Source organism: Homo sapiens, chromosome 9, assembly GCF_000001405.40.
Source record: "Homo sapiens chromosome 9, GRCh38.p14 Primary Assembly".
In the NCBI taxonomy this organism is placed as follows: domain Eukaryota; kingdom Metazoa; phylum Chordata; class Mammalia; order Primates; family Hominidae; genus Homo; species Homo sapiens.
This window is the reverse complement of record NC_000009.12, coordinates 5,890,546-5,914,611: the sequence shown is the minus strand read 5'-3', so window position 1 is coordinate 5,914,611 and position 24,066 is coordinate 5,890,546. Positions and strand designations below refer to the sequence as shown.

General features: G+C 41.2%; 2 protein-coding genes across 11 annotated transcripts in view, besides 1 other annotated feature; one reads left to right on the top strand and one right to left on the bottom strand.

Annotated features, from left to right (window-relative positions):
* Positions 1 to 24,066, top strand: part of BRD10 (bromodomain containing 10) — a 129,649-nt gene that overhangs the window by 93,871 nt on the left and 11,712 nt on the right. For 2 of the 10 annotated variants that reach the window (XR_007061249.1, XR_007061250.1), the window contains exon 9: positions 550 to 754. Coding sequence is in view for 4 of the 10 variants with exons in the window: in XM_047422861.1 (XP_047278817.1) it covers positions 550 to 617 (68 nt within the window). In the remaining 6 variants the exon portion in view is untranslated. Of the gene's footprint in view, positions 1 to 549; positions 1,707 to 3,904; positions 3,998 to 15,356; positions 20,307 to 21,571; positions 22,990 to 24,066 lie in introns of those variants that run through there. The other 8 variants (XM_047422861.1, XM_017014331.3, XR_007061252.1 and 5 more) reach the window with 7 other exon arrangements.
* Positions 3,587 to 4,786: an enhancer, noted in NCBI's record as "MED14-independent group 3 enhancer chr9:5909826-5911025 (GRCh37/hg19 assembly coordinates)". NCBI's record gives its function as "activates an origin of replication core promoter dependent on BRD2, BRD4, P300/CBP and CDK7 cofactors, and independent of MED14, by STARR-seq in HCT116 cells {active_cell/tissue: HCT116}" and the evidence as "EXISTENCE:reporter gene assay evidence [ECO:0000049][PMID:35650434]".
* MLANA (melan-A) lies at positions 4,006 to 23,723 on the bottom strand. Its single transcript, NM_005511.2, has 5 exons — positions 23,676 to 23,723; positions 22,061 to 22,162; positions 16,959 to 17,055; positions 7,614 to 7,727; positions 4,006 to 5,972 (listed from the first exon to the last, which is right to left on the bottom strand). Exons 2-5 carry the CDS (start codon positions 22,135 to 22,137, stop codon positions 5,904 to 5,906), a joined length of 357 nt encoding a protein of 118 aa, NP_005502.1. The 5' UTR covers positions 22,138 to 22,162; positions 23,676 to 23,723; the 3' UTR covers positions 4,006 to 5,903.

The window sequence follows — 24,066 nt, the reverse complement described above, 5'->3', positions numbered from 1 at the left end:
CTCTACTAAAAATACAAAAAATTAGCCGAGCGTGGTGGTGGGTGCCTATAGTCCCAGCTACTCGGGAGGCTGAGGCAGGAGAATGGCGTGAACCCGGGAGGCGGAGCTTGCAGTGAGCCAAGATTGCGTCACTGCTCTCCAGCCTGGGTGACAGAGTGAGACTCCGTCTCAAAAAAAAAAAAAAAAAAAAAAAAAAAAAAACCATCTGGATTTGTAAAACACCATCTTAGGAATTGTAATTCTTTCAGGCTTGAATTTAAGCAAATGTACCATCAACTAAGAAAAAACAATAAAAAGAGATTAAATTATTAAGTAAGGAAAACACGGTCAGGTGTCCTCCAGTATATATTTAGGAGTTGGTTGCTGTAAACCTGAACCAAACCTAGTGACCCAAATGTGTAAGCCCTTACAATTTTAACCTTCCTCGCAGACATGATGATGCATGGGATCCCCTGCACGTGGAACAGCAGGAACCACTTGGGAAAACCTGAAATTTAAACTGCTTTAGTCAACTTTGTCTATTGTGATCATTTTCTTTTCTTATTTCAGTGAGCTTTCTCTTAAGTGTGCCAAGCTGCCATCCAACTTTCTTGAGCATTTTTTCTCATGGGAAATGATCAAGTTTTGATAGCAGAAAGTGCTTCTTTCCAAGACTTTCTCGAGGCCATCTTCCTGTAGGCGTCATGCTTCTGATGTTACACAGCTGATATTTTCATATGAGCTGCATTTTTAGACTACAAAGATGCTTACTCAGGTGGGAGACCATTTCTTTGAACTGTAAGTGATTTATTTGATTTTCTTTTTAATAGTCCTTGTTTTTCTCCTTCAAGCCTTTTTAAGGAAACATTTAACAGCATCAATGTATTTTTTCAAATTGCTTTTTGATTTACCTAGAAGTTCTCAATTTTCTGATTTGTGTTTGTCTGATTTCAAGTTGCCATCATCCATGTAATTTTTGCTAAAGAAGACAGGCAAGTGTATCACCTTCCATATGATTTAAGAGATTTTAAAGGGCTCTCTTTTACAACCTCTTTATGTTTTCAAGTTGTCAAGCATTTTTTTCCTCCGTTTCTCACACTTTTTATTCCATTTCACAGCTTCTTGGGATAGCGCTTTTAGATTTTCCTAAAAATGAGTGTTTTCATCCAAACAACCCATTATTTCCTTCTGAAAGTTCTTTTGAGACACTTTAAAGATGTTTTTGGCGCCGGTTACTTGAGATTGACAGATTTTGATGCATCATCATGTAACTGTTGAACTGTGAAATGAAAGTTTAGAGACTCCCTTCTGTTCTTTTTTTGAGAAGGTCTGCAATATTCTCAAGTGACAAGTGAACCTGTCCAGATATTTACTAAATGCTAAATTTAACATTTGTGACTTCAGAGGACTGGTCTCCACCAGAGATAACTTGAAGGCTTCATTGATTTGTATAATCAGTCTAAATTTTCACTGACTTTAACCTGGGCAGAAAATCTTTTGGCTAGCTCTTGTTCCCTCCTTAAAGTATGCCTGCTCTTTACTATAAAAACAATCAGAGAGACCATATCAGAATCTTGCAGGGAAATGCATAGAGACTTGAGCCTTGTCTTAAGCATCAGTCACCACCACTGAGGGCTGGACAGGAAGGGGAACCCCAGGTTCTATAAAACAATACTCTCTAACTTTGCTCACCATGCAAATAAAAGTACTATTATTTGTACAGTGAATATGGGCAAGTGGAAAATGCTTATTGCAGCCAGAGGAGACCAGCCATGAGCTCTGGTCACTCTAGTCCCTACCCTGGCCTGCAGGAAGCTTAGGGGATCAAAGCAGTGCCATGCCATTACCCATTCCCAGCCCACAGGTATGTCAGGGCAAAAAGGAAGGGCACGCTGCAGTAGAGGACTCCTGTGCCCATGCTTATGGGTGAGGCTCATTTTCCTGAGTTCAGGTTTCCTTCAGCAGCAGGGAAGCCTCATCCTATCTATCTACAAAGGTCACAAGGATCTCCCTTTCCTGAAGGCTCCTCTCCTCATTTGTGTTAAGTCAGTCCAGGCTGTTACAGAACACTGAAGGGTCTCAACAAATATGTAAAGTAACAGCCCTGGATTTCAGTATCAGAATGGCAATGTCTTAATATTTCATGAATTTTCTTCAAGGCCCGTTCCCCAACCCCCCACCCCAACCCACATAATCCAAGTGTTCTTAGATGGGTTAGGGTCACCTTCAGTGGTGACATAGTAGAAGTCCTAGCTAAACCAATCAGACAAGAGACGGGACATTCAAATTAGGAAGAAAGAAGACCAAATTATTCTTGTTTGCTGATAATATGATGTTATATTTGGAAAAACCTAAAGACTCCACCAAAAAACTATTCAAACTGATAAATTCAGTAAAGTTGCAGGGTACAAAATCAACATTAAAAAATCAGTATCATTTCTGTATGCCAACAGGGAACAACCTGAAAAATCAAGAAAGTAATCCCATTTACAATAGCTGCAAATAAAATAAAATATCTAAGAATTAAGAAGTGAAAGATCTCTACAATTAAAACTAAAACATTGAAGAAAGAAATCAAAGAGAACACAGAAAAACAGAAAGATATTCAATGTTTACAGATTGAAAGACTCAATTATTGTTAAAACATCCATGCTACCCAAAGCAATCTGCAGATTCAATGCAATCCCTATCAAAGTAACAATAACATTCTTCATAGAAATAGAAAAATAATCCTAAAATTTATATAGAATCACAAAGTCCCAGAATAGCCAAAGAGGATAGCCCACAAAAGACCTACAGGCTGGGCGTGGTGGCTCGTGCCTGTAATCCCAGCACTTTGGGAGGCTGAGGTAGGCAGATCACTTGAGGTCAGGAGTTCAAGACCAGCCTGGCCGACATAGTGAAACCCCGTCTCTACTAAAAATACAAAAATTAGCTGGGCATGGGGGCACACACCTGTAATCCCAGTTACTCGGGAGGCTGAGGCACAAGAATAGCTTGAACCTGGGAGGTGGAGGTTGCAGTGAGCTGAGAATGTGCCACTGCACTCCGCCTGGGCAACAGAGAGAGACCGTCTCAAAAAAAAAAAAAGAAAAGAAAAGAAAAGAAAAAGGACCTAAGCAAAAAGAACAAAACTGGAAGGATCACATTATGTGACTTCAAATTACACTACAAAGCCTATAGTAACCAAAACATCATGGTACTGGCATTAAAAAAAAAAAAAAAAACACACATAGACCAATGAAACACAATAGAGAACTCAGAAACAAATCCATATATTACAGTGAGCTCATTTTCAACAAAGGTGCCAAGAACATACATTGGGAAAAGGACAGTCTCTTCAAAAAATGGTGCTGGAAAAACTAGATACCTGTATGCAGAAGAATGAAACAAGACCCGTATCTTTTGCCATATACAAAAATCAAGTAAAAATGGATTAAAGACTTAAATCTAAGACCTCAAATTATGAAACTGCTAAAAGAAAGCGTTGGAGAAACTCTCCAGGACATTGGAGTGAGCAAAGATTTCTTGAGTAATACCCTACATAGCACAGGCATCCAAAGCCAAAATGGACAAATAGGATCACATCAAGTTAAGAAGCTTCTGCACAGCAAAGGAAACAATCAACAAAGTAAAGAGACAACCCATGAATGGGAGAAAATAGCAAACTACCCATCTGACAAGGGATTAATAACCAGAATATATAAGGAGCTCTCAGTGGTGATGTAATGACCCAGGCTCCTTGCATCATGTGACCTTCCATCCTTAACACATGGCTCCCAGGGTTGCCCTGCAATTGGTTTCCAATCCAAGGAGTCATCTTCAGAGGTGTGGGTGCCTCTGTGAAGTGGGGAGTAAGTCTTCTGAATCTGGCACTTTCTATTCCTTTCAAAAATATCTCACTTTTCTAATTTCTTTCTGGCAGACTCAGCCCAAGTCTCCATGTCCATCACCTGGGACACTGTCTGAGGAACTCTGTGAGGAGAGCCTTTTCCACAGAGAAATGAGAGCACCCTCAGTGAGTGACAGTCTGGGGGTTCTGGAGGGATGTAGGGTTCAAGCCACAGGTTCCTCAGTGTACAGGATTGAGGTTCAGCAGAGACCTCGTGGTGAGGGGAGGAGGTACCCAAATGCCTGATGAAGTTTCTTTGGTTTAGAATTCATTTATTTGTTTGAAGTGGGAGAGGTGGAAGCCTTATTTTAAGTAGTAAGACTTGACAGTATCAGAAGAGTGGGGAAATATTTTAATATTTTGTTAAATGTTGTTTTTTTCGATGTGTGTAATACATCTCTTTATCCTGTGTTTTCTTTTTCCCCTTTGGTGAAATTTTGTCTTTAGTAGAAAATGATGCAGTTATGTTACACTAGTGTTTCTGATGAGACAAGATGATTTTTAGGTGGTTTACTGACTCACCGTTAAATAGCAATGAATCATATAGTGAGAAAGTAATTTCTTTAAAACTCTTGTAAGCCTTCCAGTTATGTCAAAGACAGCCTTTAACTTTTCTCTGATCCTTGTTAATCTCTGTTTGACAAAGAGAGCAGGTCTCAGGTTCATAGCCTTCTGTGACCATTAGTATTTTCTTAGGTTAAAAAAATTACTTTCATTATCTTCGTTGTTATAGTTATCCTCTACTATGGAAAATGATACTGGTTTTCCACTCAGGATGGCAATAGGAATTAAAGCCAAAAAAAGTTTAAATGAGCTGCCTGAAAGAGAAATATTAGATAAATAATAGTGTAGGTGATACGTTGATGTAGCCAAAGGAAAACAAATTGCAATGTTGCTATGCAAATAATGACACCATTCCAGAATCTCTGATCCTTTATGATTTCTTCTGCACATTCTTGTGAGAGGGATTTGGGAACCCAAGAGAGCTAAATTGCCATAGGTACATTTAAGGCAGTACACAGGCATCAGCACTAAGGCAGTACATAGTAGCTTTTACTTATTTAAATCCTTCTACCAATTTCTGGTTTAGTAGAAAATACTTGTCATTAGTTAGAATAGCATTGAGCCTTGAAGTGAAATGTAATTAGACTGCGTTATATGTCTTACCTAAGATATAGGATCCAGCCAGGCGTGGTGGCTCACGCCTGTAATTCCAGCACTTTGGGAGGCTGAGGCGGGCAGATCACCTGAGGTCAGGAGTTTGAGACCAGCCTGACCAACATGGAGAAACCCCGTCTCTACTAAAACTACAAAATTAGTCAGGCATAGTGGCGCACGCCTGTAATCCCAGCTACTCAGGAGGCTAAGGCAGGAGAATTGCTTGAACCTGGGAGGCGGAGGTTATGGTGAGCCAAGATCGCGCCATTGCACTCCAGCCTGGGCAACAAAAGCGAAACTCCATCTCAAAAAAAAAGAGCTATAGGATCTTTACAATATATTATTGTAGTATAATAGAATTTTAGAGCACAAAGAGACATTGCTGACATGTTCTTGATCAGATAAATAGGCCAGTCAACCCTTTGTCTTAACCTGTAAAAGTATCCTTTGTGAGCACTCCATAGTACTGGAACAATTCTGTGTACAGTTCATGTCGGTCAAGGTTCGAAAACCTGACTAGTTTGTTATTAGCCAAATTTCAAGTAAAGAGAAATTGGATGGCCCCAGAATACCCACTTGAATTCTGTCTCTCAGAAAATAACACCATGGATTTACTAACATTACCTCTGGCACAGATAGTATCATGCATTGCAACATTTATTGATGGAGTTTTCCCAATTTAATATTTCTCATCATTTCCTCACATGATTAGTACTGCTAGCGGACCTACTAAAATTTTAACACTGACTTATTATTAGAGATGGCTTGCATTTTTCCTACACCATTCCAAAGGAGAACATTAGATGTCTGTATTAAATTCAAGCAAAAGTGTGAGAGAAATAATTTCAGCATGTCTCAGGTGTCTCGCTGGCTCTTAAGGTGAATAAGGTGGTGGTGACTGTTCTGCAGAGAGTTTCTCATAAGCAGGTGGAGCATTGGGAACCTGTGAGAACAAGAAAGGGAGAATATGGGCTTGGCAACAGTGTATGTGTTTCTAGGAAGGGATTAAGTTAAAATAGTTAACATATTTATACTTTCCCTGTGGACTGAAATTTCTAAGTGTTCCCATATAATTTCTGCCCAGTGAAGTAATTGTTAAATTTCACAAGTATATAGGCTGATTGTTGGGGGCAAGAGTAGAGAAAAATAGGGTTAAGGAGTTCCCAAAATCTCAAAAGCTTAGCTATACCTAGATTTTCCATGACAGTAAAAGTCTCAAGCCCTAACTAACGAATCATTGAATGCTATTTATAGACACCATATACATTGCATCTTTACCACAGAGATCGTTGTAATTGTGTCTAAAGGCACATTGATACTACCAAATATAAAACAAGAGGATATTGTATCCAGAACAAATGTGTCAGGGCTTCATTTAATGCTCACAACAATTCTGGGAGTGTTTTTATTATTTTCATGTTACAGAATGGGAAACTGGGGCACAGAGAGGTTAACTCGCTTGCCCATGGTCACACAACTAGTAAGTTGTGGAGCTAAGAATCAAACACAGTAATTTGGCTCCAGAGTCAGTGCTCTCAACCATTATGCTGTGTTGTATATGTACTAGTGCTGTCCAATAGAAATATGGTACAAGCCACTTATGTAATTTTATTTTATTTATTTATTTTTGAGATGGAGTTTTGCTCTTGTCTCCCAGGCTGGAGTGCAGTGGCACTATCTCGGCTCACTGCAACCTCCACCTCCCGGGTTCAAGTGATTCTCCTGCCTCAGCGTCCCAAGTAGCTGGGATTACAGGCATGCACCACCACGCTTGGCTAATTTTTGTATTTTTAGTAAAGATAGGATTTCACCATGTTTGCCAGGCTGGTCTCGAGCTCCTGAGATCAGGTGATCCACCCACCTCGGCCTCCCGAAGTGCTGGGATTACAGGTGTGAGCCACCATGCCCAGCCATATGTAATTTTAAAATTTCTAGTAGCTACATTTAAAAGAAGAAACATGTAAAATTAATCTTAAAATATTTTGTTTAACCTAATATTTTCAGAATATTTATTTCAAGGTGAATCAATATAAAAATCATTAATGAACCATTTATCTTCTTTTCTACATACTAATATTTTTGAAATATGATATGTATTATAATACATCTTATTTCAAACTCCTGTGTTTTAAGTGTTCAATAGCACCATGTGACTAGTGGCTAAGCCATCAGACAGCACAGCTCTATACAATAAATAATAGGTACTTTATCCCTTCCCTCTGTATATATCTGCATCCATTAAAAAGGCAAATATAACTAAAAACATAAAAGAATATTGTATCCAGGACTAAATTCTTCCTTTGAATCTTACATGTAGGGCTCTCATTATTGACCCTGGAAACACTGGGTATGTGACAACACAATTAAGAAAATATCTGTACTTCCCTTGTTTTTTATTATTATTTATTTTTTATTCTCATAAAATACACATAAAAGTTGCCATTTTAACCATTTTTAGGTGTATATAGTTCAGTGGCAATGAGTACATTCACATTGTCCTTGCTTTTTAAATGGAAATAATTGTATTCACTTGAGTTAAAAACAGCCATTCATGAAAATACCCTTATGAAGGATCTTAACCTACCACAGGTTCACAGTTTTTCTCTTGAAGAGACACTTTGCTGTCCCGATGATCAAACCCTTCTTGTGGGCATCTTCTTGTTAAGGCACATTGAGTGCCAACATGAAGACTTTTATCCTGAAATGTAAATTGATAAAGGTGAGTGGGTGAGAAGAAGTAACTGAATCCATTAAAGAAAAGAGAAGGAAGCCAAAGTTTTAAGAATGAGTTTTAATCTAGGTTCTGCCACTTACTTGCTGTGTGCCTTCAGTCTCATCACTTTACCTTCTGAATTCTGAGTTTGCATCTAGGAATATAATACCTACCTACCTCTCAGAATTGCTGTGGGAATTAACTAGAAGTAAAGCTCTAGTGCAGTACCTGGGACCCAATAGTTGGTCAAAGAATATTTCTGAAGGGAAGGATAAGAAGAGTGAATCTACAAAAGGAACACTCTTGTGAAATTATCCATCAATAGTGAAGCAGAAATAAAGACTTTGTCAAGCAAAAATTGAGGGAATTCATTGCCAGTAGACCTGCCTTGCAGGAAACTTTTGAAGTTCTTTAGAGAAAAAGAAAATAACATAGGTCAGAACCTTGTACCTACATAAAGGAAGAACATCCAAGAAGGAATAAGTGAAGGTAAAATAAAAACTTTTTTTTTCTTTTCTTTTCTTTTCTTTTTTTTTTTTTGAGACAGAGTCTCACTCTGTTGCCCAGGCTGGAGTATAATGGCACGATCTCGGCTCACTGCAACCTCTGCGTCCTGGGTTCAAGTGATACTCCTGCCTCAGCCTCCTAAAACTTTGTTTTTCTTTCTTTCTTTTTTTTTTTTTAAGAGACATGATCTTGCTAAGTTGCCTAGGCTGGTCTTAAACTCCTGAGCTCAAGCAATCCTCCTGCCTCAGCCTCTGAGTAGCTGAGACTATAGGCATGCACCACTGCACCCAACATATTTGTCTTATTCTTAGTTGATTTAACAGATAATAGTTTGTTCAAAAATGAATAATAGCAACAATGTATTTAATTAGGTATGCTTATATATACTTGAAATTAATAACAGCAATGATACAAGGGAAAGGAATGTTAACAGAAAGAAAAAAACTGCAAAATATTTTAAAGAGGTTTATTCTGTGCCGATATGAATGACCATGGCCGGGAGAATAGTCTCAAGAGGTCCTGAGAAAGTGTGCCTGAGGTGGTTGGGTTATGATTTGGTTTTATATGTTTCAGGAAGACAGGAATTGTAGGTAAAAATCATAAATCAATACACGGAAGGTATACATTGGGTCAGCCTGAAAAGGCAGGACATGGCAAAGCAGAGACTTACAAGTCACAGGTGGGTTTTAGGTATTCTTTAGTTAGCAGCTGGTTGAAAGAGTTCAGCTCTGTCTTAAGACTTGAAGTCAGTATAAAGGAATGCTTAAGGTAAGGGAGTCTGCAATCTGTCATGTGATGCTATACCAGAGTCAGTTTGGAAAGTATACCACATTATATGGGGTTAATTAAAAAAAAATTTTTTTATGGTTTGAAGGGCATGATTTAACCCTTTCCTTGCATTGTCTTGTTCCTAATTTGATATTGCCACAAAGAGTTCATTCTGTCAGTCCTGTAATCTCTATTTTAAAATTAATGCTGGTCAGTTGTACCTAAAACTCTAAAAGGGAGGGAGTATAATGAGGCATCTCTCACCTCCCTTCCCGTCATGGCCAACACTCAGTTTTTCAGGTTTCCCTGGGGTCCCCTTGGTGAAGAGGGGGTCCATTCAGTTGTTTGGAGGATTTAGGATTTTGTTTTTAGTTTACAGGAGGAAGGAATTAGGATTATTTTAAGATACTCATAATGCCTATGAAATGGTATAGTGTTATTTGAAAGTGGATTTGAATTAGTTGTAAATGTATGTTGCAAACTCTAGGGAAACCACTGAAAAAAAGTAAAAAAGAAGTATAAGGCCGGGCACGGTGGCTCACACCTGTAATCGCAGCACTTTGGGAGGTCAAGGCGTGTGGATCACGAGGTCAGGAGATTGAGACCATCCTGGCTAACACAGTGAAATGACATCTCTACTATAAATACAAAAAATTAGCCAGGCATGGTAGCGGGCACCTGTAGTCCCAGCTACTTGGGAGGCTGAGTCAGGAGAATGGCATGAACCCAGGAGGCAGAGCTTGCAGTGAGCCCAGATCATACCACTGCACTCCAGCCTGGGCAACGGAGTGAGACTCCGTCTCAAAAAAAAAAAAAAAGAAGTGTAACTGGACTGGGCGCGGTGGCTCACGCCTGTAATCCTAGCACTTTGGGAGGCCAAGTGGGTGGATCACTTGAGGTCGAGTTCCAGCCTGGCCAACATGATGAAACCCCGTCTCTACTAAAAATACAAAAATTAGATGAGCATAGTAGTATGCACCTTTAATCTCAGCTACTCAGGAGGCTGAGACAGGAGAATCACTTGAACCTGGGAGGCAGAGGTGGCAGTGAGCTGAGATCGTGCCACTGCACTCCAGCCTGGGCGACAGAGTGAGTGAGATTCTGTCTCAAAAAGAAAAAAGTATAACTGATATGCCAAGAAAGGAGAGAAAATGGAATCATATAAAATGTCCAGTGAAAATCACAAAAGGCAGAAAAAGAGTAAAGACAAAAATAGAAACAAAGAACAGAGGCAACAGGTAGAAAACAGTAACAATATGGTAGATATCAATCCAACTATATCAATAACTACTTTGAATATCAATGGTCTAAATGCACCAATTAAAAGACAGATTGTCAGAGTGGATCAACAAACAAGACCCAACTATGTGTTCTCTACAAGAAACCCTCTTTAAATATAAAGACACATACATGTACATTAAAAGTAAGTGGATAGAGGCCAGGCATGGTGGCTCACACCTGTAATCCCAAGCACTTTGGGAGACCAAGGCAGGCGGATTGCCTGAGCTCAGGAGTTCAAGACCAGCCTGGGCAACATGGTGAAACCCCATCTCTGCTAAAAATACAAAACTTAGCCAGGCTTGGTGGCGCACACCTGTAATACCAGCTACTTGGGAGGCTGAGGCAGGAGAATCACTTGAACCCAGGAAGTGGAGGTTGCAGTGAGCTGAGATCACACCACTGCACTCCAGTCTAGGTGACACAGCGAGACTCTGTCTCAAAAAAAAAAAAGTAAGTGCATAGAAAAAGATATACCATGCTAACACTAATGAAAAGAAAGTAGGAGTTCCTATATTAGTTTCAGAAGGAGATTTCAAGGAAAGTTATCAGGGATAAAGAGGGATATTACATAACGATAAAGGTGTTCATTCTCCAAGAAGACATAAGAACACCTAACATTGCATGTACCTAAGAACACAGCATCAAAATACATGAGATAAAAACTGATAGAACTGCAAGGAAAAATAGTTGCATCCACTATGAAGTTGGAGTTACAGTTGGAGGCTTCAACATCTCTCTATCAGAAATAACACAAAGCCAGCAGGTAAAAAATCAGTAAGGACTAACTCATTGTATGAGGCCAACATTACCCTAATATCAAAAACAAAGATATTACAAGAAAAGAAAATGACAATTCGTTATCTCTCATAAATATAGATGCAAAAAAACTCAACAACATATTAGCAAATCAAACCTAACAATATATAAAAGGAATTATATACTGTGACAGAGTGGAACTCAACAAAATCTTCGATTAACTAGATATAATAGACATCTGTAGGCTACTTCATCCAACGACAACAGAATACACTTTCTTCTCAAGCTCAGAACATTAACCAGGATAAACCACATTCTGGGCCACAAAACACATCTTAACAAATTTAAAAGAATAGAAATTATACCATGTTTGCACTTAGACTATAATAGAATTAAAGCAGAAATCAATACAGAAAGATAACTGAAAAATTCCCAACACTTGGAGATTAAACAACACACTTCTACATAACACATGAGTCAAAGGAGAAATCTCAGGAGAAATTTAAATATATTTTGAATTAAATGAAATTAAAATATGATATCAGAATTTGTGGGATACTGCTTAGCAGTGCAAGCAGTATTTAGAGGGAAATGTATGACATTGAATGTGTATATTAGAGAAGAAGAAAGATCTAAAATCAGTCATCTAAGCTTTCACCTTAGGAAAATAAAGAGAACAGCAAATTAAATCCAAAGTAAGCGGAAAAATAAAAATTAGAGCAGAAATCAATGAAATTGAAAACAAGAAATCAGCAGAGCACAATGGCTCATGCCTATAATGCCAGTACTTTGGGAGGGCAAGGCAGGAGGACTGCTTGAAGCCAGGAGTTTGAGACCAACCAGAGCAACATAGTGAGACTCTGTCTCTACAAATTAAAAAAAAAAAAAAGAAAATTAATCAGACCTGGAGGCACATGCTATAATCCTAGCTACTATGGTAGCTAGCTGTAGTCCTAGCTACTCAGGAGGCTGAGCCAGGAGGATTGGAGTGCTTGAGCCCAGGAGTTCAAGGTAACAGTGAGCTATGATTGTGCCACTGCACTCCAGTCTGGATGACAGAATGAGACCCTGTCTCTAGAAAAAAAAAAGGAAAGAAAGAAAGAAAAAAAAGTCAGTAGAGTAAATCAATGAAACCAAATGCTGATTCTGGGAAAAGATCAATAAAATTGATAAGCCTTTAGCTAGGCTAAGAAATAAAAAGGCACAAACTACTATTATCAGAAATAATAATGGACATGAAAAGGATAAGCAAGGAATACTATGAACTATGCTCACAAATTTGAAAACCTAGGTGAATGTAACAATTCTTTGAAAGACACAATCTGTCAAAATCCACGCAAGAAGAACTAGACCATCTGAAGAGATTTATATCTATTATAAAAATTGAATCAATAATAACTTTCCAAAACAGAAAGCACCAGACCCAGATGAGTTCAGTGGTGAGTTCTACCAAACATTTAAGAAAGATATTATACCAATTCTCTATAACCTCTTTCAGAAGATAGAAGCAAAGGGAATACTTTGTAACTCATTGCTATGAGGCCAGCATTACCCTAATACCAGACAGATATTGCAAAAAGAGAAAACTACAGCTCAATATCACTCATGAATACAGATGCAAAAAATCTCAACAAAATATTAGCAAGTCAAACTAACAATGTATAAAAGGAATTACATACCATGACAAAATAGGATTTATGCCAGGTATGCAAACCTGGTTCAATATTGAGAAATCAGGCCAGGCGTGGTGGCTCACGCCTGTAATCCCAGCACTTTGGGAGGCTGAGGCAGGTGGATTGCTTGTGCTCAGGAGTTTGAGACCAGCCTGGGCAACATGGTGAAACCCCATCTCTACCGAAAATACAAAAAAATTTAGCCAGGCGTGGTGGCTTACACCTGTGGTCCCAGCTACTTGGAAGGCTGGGGTGGGAGGATCACCTGAGCCTGGGAGGTGAAGGTTACAGTAAGCTGAGATTGAGCCACTGCACTCCAGCCTGGGTGACAGAATGAGACCCCATCTCAAAAAAAAAGAAAAAGAGAAATGAATTATTCTGATACATCAATAGACTAAAGAAGAAATTTGCAAGATTGTATCAATAGATGTAGAAAAAGCATTTGACAAAATCAAACACCCATTCATAATTTAAAACTCTCAATAAACGAGGGATAAAGGGAAACTTACTCAAGTTTGCTGAAGAATATCTAGGTACAAAAAATCAACAGTTAACATCATACTTGAAGCTTTTCTGCTAAGATCAGGAACAAGGCAAGGATGTCCTGTCTCACCACTCCTTTTCAGCATCATACTGGAAGTTGCAAATAACTAATGCAATAAACTGGAAAAGGATATAAAAGGTGTACTGATTGGGAAAAAAAAATAAAACTGCCCTTGTCAATTACCATTTTTTTCTTTTTCTTTTTTTTTTAAGCCTCTCACTCACCATAGGTTAAGAGTATGATCCACTCTACCGGTTCACTGCCAGTTCTCTGTATTTACATTAAAACTGGGTGTACATTTTAAAATATAGATTCCTGAATCCCACCACCAGAGATGATCCCAGAATCTGCCTTTTAGCAAGAACCCCAAAGTATTCCAGTGCAGGTGACCACTGACCATGCATTGAAAAACACAGTGCCCTGACACATGAGTGTAAACTGAGCTGAGAGCAAGGGCCATGAAATTCTCCAAGAATCAAAAGTATTTTGTCCTTGAACTTCCAAGTGAAGATGTAAAACTGGTTAATATAAAAACCACTGTTCAGTTTATTACAAATCATTTCCCACTTCCTGTTGCTACAAAAAGCAGCCTTTCCTTTCAAAAGATGTTTTCCAGGGCTCAGGGGAATTGTTAACCAAGGGAGAAATTTTAAGAGATCTAAATTCCAACCAGCCTCTCTGTGGACAAATGGAAGTTGAAAAGTAGACATTTCAAGCTTAATGAAGATTGTTAAAGGTGGAGTAATTCACATGCCCAAAGCTCATATTTAATGTCATTTACATCCCTTTGCTTTAAAATGAAAATAGAATCACTGAAGACAGAAAGGGAGGTAATTATGTAATTAAATGCAATACTTAATGCACTATTTTACATAATTTTGCCTAAACTTATTAGACTGCTGATCTCCAAACTGACTTTTCTAGATATATGAAAATCTCAAAATAAGATTTTAATATTAATTTAAAAAATAAATATGGAAATTAAATAAACCAGGAAATTTAAACACGATTCCCTCTCAATAAAAAGTCTCAGAAACTACAAACCACTGATCTAATCCTAGAGGAATGGAGGCATAGAGTTTGAATTTGAAACTTACCAAGCAAAATGTTCACAGTGTCTGAGCACATGACATTAAGACTCTCTGTTATTTTTCAATTAAATGAATTTAAGATGAGAGCATTGAAGCAGAAAAGAAAAATTACTGCATTTGTGTTCAATAGGATCAAACTAATAATTATAGTTAGGAAATGAGTACCAACATATTGAGTTTGTATAGCTTTACTTCTTGAAAGACTAAACATTTTGTTTTTGATATACAAATATATAATGAAATCAAAATATAGAAGAAAATATGTATTAAATAAAAATGGATATACATTGTGTTACATCACAGATTTCCAACATGTCTGGGTGTAAAATAGAGCTAGTGAATCTTGGAGAAGTTGAATTCTAGTCTCCAAGCAACTCAATGGCAGACAATGGGACCAAGTCCTAATGCAACACAATTGAGTGACTACCATGTGCCAGGCACTGTGCTAGGCACTGGAGATATGAAGATGAGTTAGAAATATTCTCTGTTGTGGTTCATACATAGGGGAAAGCGGAGGGGTCGAAGAGGCAAAAAGTAAATAGCCAATTACAAGGCAATGTCATAACCCCATGCTAGAGTTACAAATGGAGTTCTATGGCAGAGATTAAAGTCCTCCCCTACTAACCTGTTGTGGACAGCCGTATGAGCAGGAATTCTATCCCTAACTTTCTAACCCAAGGCTTTCCTCAAGTATTTCCTCCAATATTGGAGTCTTGTTCAGATTCATCAACTCCTCCTCCTTCCCACTAGATGTCAGCACACTAGAGGGCTATGCTCGGTGGGTGTGTCAGCCCCCAGACTTGACTTGCCTTTGATGGTTTGTATTTGTATTTATGCTCTGGAAAGACATTGGGGAACAGGAGACATGAGACATGAGACTGCCCAAGTTTCTTGGCAAAGAGGGAAAGAATCCAGAGTTGTATCTCTCACCTTCTCCTTATCAGCTTGCCAAGCTTCAATCCCCACCCCACACCAACCCTCCTCTCTTTCACAGGACCTTTTCCTCTAAATGAAGTGCTTGCTGAATGAGGAATGGGACTTTCCAACATCTTTTGGAAAGATACTTTTTTTCCATTATGCATCAACCTGAAAAGCTTTCAGATCTGTAATAACAAGAAAGAGAGACAGCGAGATCTATGGAGAATGCCTTCGGGTGCTGAAGTGCTGAAGTGCTACCTGGCTTTAAGCAAGATTGCTGAAACCTGTAATTTTTATAGCTTATAAACTCAGTTGATGTTTCCCATTCATGGAGGATACTGGTACCAGAAGATTGGATTGTGTAATTGTGTTAGCTTCCTGCATATTTGGGTAAAGAAGAAAAAAATACTATTAAAACCTTTGGCCATCTAAGAAGGATGCAGCCTGTTAAAAAACACACAAGTGACCCTTTGTGCTGATGCAGGAAGGATGGTTTCCTCATCGCACTGATGATATCCTGGGATGCTTAGTGTAGAGTCAGAAGAACTTGGAATTCACAGGTAACCAGTGAGGAAAGGGGTGAAGAAGAAAAGTAGGAAGAGCAGGTCACAAAGTGGAGTAACAGAACCAGCAAGAATTCCCAGAAGTGGTAAAACCTGAGGTGTCTAATATACTCCTGTTTGCTATAAGGGAACCTCAAACCCCTTCCCCTGTGCCCTATAAACCGTCAGTGCTTAGCTACACACAACATCCAGGTACCCAAGTCTGCTATGAGTAGAACCAAAGAGACAGGTGCTATAGTTTGAATGTGTCCCCCAAAATTCGTGTATTGGAAACTTAATCCCCAATGCAACAATGGTAAGAGGTAGGACTTTTAAGAGGTGATTAAGTTACAAGGGCTCTGTCCTCATGAATGGATTAATGTTGTTATTGCAGGAGTGTGTTTGTTATTGCAAAAGTAGGTTGGTTATAAAAGTGAGTTTGGGCCATATGTGGAGTGTTTCACACTTGTAGTCCCAACACTTTGGGAGGCCGAGGCAGGATCACTTTAGCCCAGGAGTTTGAGACCAGCCTGGGCAACATAGTGGGACCTCGTCTCTACAAAAAAAAGTTTTTTTTTAATTAGCCGGTGTGGTGGCACGTGCCTGTGGTCCCAGCTACTCTGGAGGCTGAGACAGGAGGATGGCTTGAGCCCAGGAGGTCAAGGCTACAGTGACTCATGTTCACCACTGCGCTCCATCCCAGGATTTCCTGTTTCAAGAAAAAAAAAAAATGAGTTCAGCTCCCTCTTGCTCTCTCACTCCCTTGCCCATGTGATGCCTTCCACTATGATATGACACAGCAAGAAGTCCTCACCAGGTGTGGCCCCTAGATCTTGGAGTTCCCAGCCTCCCAACTGTAAACCAAATGAATTTCATTTATTTATAAATTACAGTCTCTCGTATTATGTTATAATCACAGACTAAGACACAGGGCAAGTTCCTGGTTGAGGTTCATGCCTGAGCAGAGGCAAAGGTAGAGTTGCCAAAGTACAATGTAGCAAAAGAGGCATCAGAAGCCGGAATCAGAGCTGAAGGTTATAATGAGGCAATTATCTGACTCTCCAGAGATTCAGAGGAAAGAACTGGAAAGAGGGCCCTGGACTTGGAGGGATTTCAGCAGTGGGAACTTTACCAACCATCAAGGCTCTGTATCCATTTCGTCTTCTACAATACCAACAGCCGATGAGCAGTAAGACTCCCAGGATCACTGTCAGGATGCCGATCCCAGCGGCCCTGGCCCAAGAGATAGACAAATCCACTTTGTCATTGAAACATTGTTCTACATTATGATGAAGCATAAATCAGTCTTCCTCTTCATATGGACTTTGACGACCCAGAGCAGCATCTCCCAGTGTCCAAGTAGTTTCCCACCTCCCACACTGGGCACCCCACCAGGCCTCCAGCACCTGGATCTAACCCAGGTCTTTAGGAGCCTCTCAAGTGTGTGCCCACAGGAACTCTGCTAATTGGCATGGCCCAGGCACCCAAGTTCCAGGTATGAGAAGTGCCATAGTAACTGGTCTTTATGTGGACAATGTATTTATTGGGGCTAAATTATCTTTTCTTCTCATCAGGCTGTTTTAAAACATTTTCTCCAACTCAGCCCACAAAGAGAAAATAGAAATTAACACTGACTCATCTACTAAAAGCCAGGTGCTGTGCTAAACATTCATTAGCTTATTCAATTCTCACATCAACACTGGAGGGTAGACACAATTTATCATCCCCTATTTTCACAGAAGAGGAAATAAAAGGCAGAGGATACATGACTCGCTGGTGATCATACAGAGCTAGCACAAAACAGAGGCTGGATTTGAACCTGAATCCGTCTCAATTATGTTCGTGCCCTCCCTTCCCTAAACTCCCCGCTTTGCTCCTTGCAGCCCTAGGGAGAAGTGTCTGGGCTGAACCTACAGCAAAGCTGTGGCATTACTTATTGAGAAGGATCTTGTCTAAGCAGCAGGGTGCCAATCTGGGGGTCTACACCAGCCTCTTGGGCCCTGTGTTCAGTGACCCCTGGGAAGCATTACAGTTACCACAAAGTTACCACAAAGACCCTGGAAACAGGGCCTGGAGCTGTTCACTCCGGGCAAGCATCATCAATTAGCTAACATCTGCCTGATCACAGCATGATCAAAATCGACAGAACTGACTCTGTTATCTGTGGTTGTCAACTCGCTAAGAAAGTTTCTGCAGAGCTGAGTGACTTACAAGAGACTGAGCAGCTACAGGAGAAGCAAGGTTTAACTAAGGCTTCTGCTGGAGAGACTTTTGCTCAGTACCATCTACTGGACAACTTCTGTCTCAAGGCTGAGGAGACATCAAGCTTATCCTGTCCGTCTCCAAACAGGATAGAGCGAACCATGGGATGACAGTGCTAGATGGAAACTCTGACTTATGTAGGTCAGTCCACCCGCTTTATAGATCAGGAAGCTGAGACCTATGAAGATTCATCAACATTACCATAACCATAGTGACTACCATTCATTGAGCACCAATTTGTGCCAGGCACTGGGCTAGGCACCCCCACATATATGCTTTTATTTCATCCTAACCACAGTCCTCGGAGTTAGGAATGATGTTCATTTTACAGCTGACATTATGCTGGTCAAGTGCCCAGGGCTGCACAACCAGCAAGTGGCAGAACCAACATTCACAGCAACTGGAACGGGAGACCAAGCAAGTGAGCACCAGAATTTGGGCCAGATCCAGGTCTCCCAGGCCAGTGCTTTTCCTGCAGAGTCACTCTTTCCTGAACTGAAGCTGTCACAAGGAGTGTTCAGTGTGTTCTCGTGACTGAAGGCAGCTGATTCAACTCCCAACATGCCTGTGCTCTCATTTTACCCTGTGGCGTCCACTTGAATATCTTGACACAGTCAGAGCTCTGTTACAGCACTTTATGCATGGTCACGTGGTACTCACAACATGCCCAAGTAACTGAGAGCGAAAAGCACCAGGGTATGCCTGACACATTGGAAGAACCCACTGCCCAGCTTGGCAGGGCGCCTCAGAGTGTCTTCCAAATACCACCTGCAGCAGAATCACCTGAGATGCACGTTAAGGTGCAGATCATAGGACTCCACCCCTGGCCTACCCAATCAGCCTCTTAGGTGGCAGCACCTAGAAATCTGCATTTTAACAAGTTCCATGGATGACTTGTGTCCACCCAACTGTGAGAACTGCTCTCCACTGAGGTTTCAAAGAGATACATAATACCCAAAGCAGGTATGTAGTCCTTCTTGGCTGGATGTGGGAACTTATTTTGCATCATTCTTCTTCATTCCACCTGCTGGCACAATTGTGAGAAGGATAAATATTCTCAGATCTTAGGGATGCATTGTTTTAATGAAGATTGCCCCATTGTGCAGGATCTGGATTTTATGCAAAAAAATTAAAAAAAAAAAAAGAAGATGGCCCCATTCCCCTACCTCCATCCCACCTATTTAAACAAACAGCAATGGGGGCAGGGACTTTTCATGAGAGGAATGACTTTTGACATTGGTGGCCATGTGCAGTTACTTATTTTCTGGACCGATCTCCTTCAGTACCTGCACAAGATGATGATGTTCCATGTATTCAGGGGTTCCTACACTCACAGACTGAAGTTAAGTGTTTCATTGTGCTGGAAGCTTTGGCCATCTGACCCTTCTACAGACAGCAAAATGTCAAAAGGAATTACTTTCTCTTTAAAGGATAGCTCCCACGCATACGGGTTGAGTGGGTATTTTTCTTTTGTGCTGGAATCCAGAGGCTCCCTCTTGTTCTCAAGGAAAATGTCAGATAACCCACCTGACCCTGCTTATGCACGTCATTCAGGTTGCAAGACACAGAAAGCTTGTGCCTTCAGTCAAGGGGTTCCTTCACATGATAGTGGTCATAACCCCCTTTGCCCTTTATTAAGCCATTGTCCCTCAACTCCAAACCTACCTTTCTATGCTCTGCTCTGTGATGCTGGGACTGGACTCTGCAAATGCCACTTCTCCTTTGCCCACTGGCTCCCATTAGAGTACTCTAGAGGGTGCCTACAAACCTGGGGCATCAAGAAGGAGCAGCTCCTTCCAGTGTGCTTCTGGCTCCTGTCAGGATCACCCCAGCAATGCTCACATTGTCTGTATATGCCAAGCACCAGCTCGTTTTCCGGCATTGTCAGAGCCAGCTTCATTATGCCCCTCCCCAGCAGAGCACTGGCTGACCTCAGAGGCCTGAGTATTTGATTCATGCCCCTCACTTCTAAGCTCTTGAGACACCAGAACCAGCCAAACAAAAATCTCTCCTTAGAGATCTGGGTCCCATTTCTGTGGCGTCCCTCCTCCCAACTCTAGGTCCTGATGGCCTCACCCTTCCGTTTGTTACCCCAGACACGGGGGTAGAAGCAGCATTCTGTGGGTACAGCCTTGGTTGCCCCGATGCCTTCTTTGCCTCCTCAGTCTCAGTCCCATGCCTGTTTAACCAGCTTCTTATATTAAAGTCTCTATGTTGAACCATCTAGTTGGTTTCTTCCTGACTAGACCCTGAAAGTTACCTTGTTCAGGTTGTGGGTACACCTGGCTATGAGGTTCCCCAGCTGGGCATGATGGCCCTACATGGCAAAGGACAACTCCACTTTCGGCCTACTGAGCTGACTAGCATCAGCCTCCAGCTTCACACTGAGAGATACTGACCTCTGCCCTAGCCTCTCGTCGGATGGGATTGTGCAAATATTTGCCTCTGCTGGCCTGCAGCATAACACTTAAGAGCATGGACTCTGGAGGCAAACAGACCTGGATTTAAATCCCAGCGCCACCATGTCTGGCCACACATTTCCTAATTTCTCTAAACCTTTCTTCATTTACAACACAGCAAGAATGATACCCACCAGGGTGGGTGCCACGGGGCGGGGGGCGGGGGTGGAGCAATAAGCAGAAGTGACGTGTGCCCCTTGAAAGGAACGGTCCTAGCCTCTCCTTCACCTCCTGCTTTCTGTTGGCAAGATGTGGAGGTGATGGCACAACATCTTCAGCCATGGGGACAAAAGTGACATCCCAAGGGAGTAACCAGCAAGAAGAAAACGAACAGGCCTTGAACTCTTTACTCTTGAATTTTTACACGAGACATAAAAGTATATTTTAAAGAGTCTGTTGAGTGATTATACACAAGCTGAAACGATACCCTAACTAATAGCACGGGCAATGGGCTCCCCTCCCTCAAAGAGTATGTTTTTGCTGTCAGGACATTTTCTGAGAAGATACCGCCGCCCTCATCTCCAATTGGCCAGGGATATTAGAGGATCCTATACCAGGGTCTTCTGAGGAAATGCTGTCTGCCTGAACTCTTCCTCAGTGCCTTTGTTGGGCTTTACATCTTGCTGGTCCCTGCGGTTGACTGTTAACAAAGATTGTTCAACAGCTCTTTCCAAAGAAAGAGCAGGTTCACAGGGAGTTCTGGACAGACCACATAAGAGGGTGTTGTCCTGTTAGAGTCCCACGCAGAGGGTGGGGCCTCCCCTGCCCCTGCCACCCAGCACGTACAGAGTATGTCCCTTTCCCACTCCCAGCACATACAGAGTATGTCCCTGCAGCCTCTGGGTTTTCATTACCGCACTTACATTTGCTGAAATTAATCTCATGCCTAACTCTCCCACTAAGTTGTGAGTTTTTTCAAAGATAAAAACAGTGTCTCACGCCAGTATACAATGCTTAGCATTTAGAAATGCTTAATCATATAAATACTTATTTTTAATTCACTCATAAAACCCAATGTCTTTCCTTAGGATAAAGTTATACTGCAAAGGCTGTGACCTCCATCTTCCTCTCGAGTCTGGCTGTGGGCTGAGTCACACACACCTGCCCGTCATCCTTACTGGCTCCTTGGCAACTCACTTTTATTCTGTCTGCAAACCACCTTCAGGAATTTGAGTGGAGGAGACAGAACAAGGATTGAGGAGAGAGGCATTGTGATCCTGAACAGATGTTTTTCCACTTGGGAACCTACAGATAAGACCCAATAGTCAAAAGTGCACCCAAAAATGGCAAGATCCAACCTTATACCATTCCCATCTTCCTGCCTGTTTGGCCTCAGAGAAGCTTGACTGAGCCCCTTATAGAAGCACAGAATCTCCTCCCCTTGTTGCCAGGGATGTTACTGTCTGGGGAGATAAACACTAGGGAGATTTACGAGCAGGCATGTACTGGTGGAAGTCAGCAGGCTGTGTCAGCAAACGGCAAACTGGAAGCCCTGCTGGGTCTGGTTTTGAACTTACTCTTCAGCCGTGGTGTAAGAGTGGCCGTGCCCCTTCTTGGGGTAACCATAGATGAAGTGAGCATCTTCTCTTGGCATCTTGTAGGGTCAGGGCACAGGACACCTAACAGAAGGAGCATGTGGGCATCATTAATGCATCCAAAGCCACCCTATTCATCATCTCATAAAGACCCACAACAGCATCCTCACTAGGTGACCAATATCCATAGCCAGGACCCTTTGGTTTCTCTCTGTGAGGGGATTTGCACCTGCTTCTTTCATTCATATCAAGGGCTTTAGCAATAGCTCAGGTTTCTAACCCCTCCTACTAACTGAAAATTAAGTTCAAAGAAGAAACTACAAACAAAAGCAAAAAAGACTTGCAAGTTGAGTTATTATTTGGTGAAAAAATATTCCTCATTTGCCTTCAATTTGACTCTGCACCATAAACTTCTAGAGAAACAAACAAAATGCATTTTCACTGATTCTCCACCTTCCCTGGCCCAGGGCTGTGGCTAACAAAATTAGAGGAGTTATTTTTCTCCAAAGTTATTGTTGGATATCAATCCCACAGACAAACAGAGGCTATGATACATAACGTGTGTTTCCCAGAGCACCCGTTGCCTGTGCCTCGCGAGGGTGCATGAGGTTGAGCACTGAGCACAACATCTTCCAGCCCAGCTTTTCAGCAAAGGAAACCACCCCACACAGGGGCTTCAGCCTGTCCCCAGGCACTCCACCCAAAACAAGCCGAGGAAGCCCAGGACCTGACTTTATCTAACAATGTGTTTCCCTTCCTACTTAAGTCAATTTCTGCTTCTCTCTGGTTCAAGTCCCTTGGCTAGGATTCTTTTTTTTTCTAACTATAACACATACAAATGAACAACAAAAAATATCCATAAACTGCAGTGGCCGTAATTCAAGTACGCTCATTAAAAACCAATAATGGAAGCTCCTTTCCTTATTATTGTGTATTTTTCTGCTCTCTTACTGTCCTCATGAATTTCAAAGGTGTGATCCCCATAGAATTATATTAATGAGCCCCAGTTTAAAACAACAGGGAGAGGTGAGACAGAAGAGTGGGGATTTCGACACATGACCCCTTTCCACTGGGACATTTTATGTGTAATTTGCCCTTCCCAGTTGTAAAAAAGAAATGAAAGTCAAACTCACCAGTCCTCTCAAGTGAATAATATAGGACTGAACCCTGTGTTCAAAATGACAGAATGGAATCTTAATTCTTCATTAAATTGTTTTAATACATCCCATACCTCAAACTCAGAGCCTTGGCAAATGGTGCAGCAACAGCAAATGCGCCTCTTACTACTCAGACCAGGAGAAGTGGTTCTTTAAGTGACAGGAGAACACATCTACCTCAGGGAGGCTGCTTCTCCCCAGCAAGATGCCATCCTGAATAATTGCTTTTCTTCTTGGTAGTGTTGGAGGACTGAGAGAGGATTCAGGAGGAGGCTTTGTGAGCCCTCTGAGGTTGGAGACTGACAAACGTTGCGGAGAAATTCTGTTGATGTCACACATCAGCGGGGCAATGAGGGTAGGCAGAGGACTTAGCCAGAATTTCCCAAATCCTATTCTGGGAGAAGAGGACTATGATTATGGCGAGAAGGCAACGCTCTTACCTTCCTTAATGAGAGTCCTCTGTCTGCTGGCTGGCCGCGTGTATGAAGACTGCTTCTCTGGCTCTTAATCGTTTTGACTTATTTTTTTTCCTGGTTTTGAGTCCCATGATAGTCACGGGTTTAGATTTCTGACGGGGTCGTCTGTAATTGCTAAATTGGCATGAAAGAAACCAACTTTATTCCTTCCTTCAAAAAGTCACAGCTGACTGTGGCCTCTGTTTTCCCCAGTCCCAGTGCTCTATCCTAGGGAAGCCATTTATTTTAAATGTTGGTCCCTCCTCCATAGGATTGCCATGTCACATAAAATATGACATGAGCCTAGTTATAATGATTTAAAATTCATGGTCCGACACCACAATTACTTTTGCACCAACCTAATTGATGTCTAAGT

Coding starts and splice junctions, on each gene's coding strand:
- MLANA (NM_005511.2), bottom strand. CDS start 22,137: ATGCCAAGAGAAGATGCTCACTTCATCTATGGTTACCCCAAGAAGGGG. Junction 17,056..22,060: donor TCTTACACCACGGCTGAAGA/GTAAGTTCAAAA, acceptor CTCTTGGGCCAG/GGCCGCTGGGATCGGCATCC. Junction 5,973..7,613: donor AGAAAAACTGTGAACCTGTG/GTAGGTTAAGAT, acceptor TTGTTCTCACAG/GTTCCCAATGCTCCACCTGC.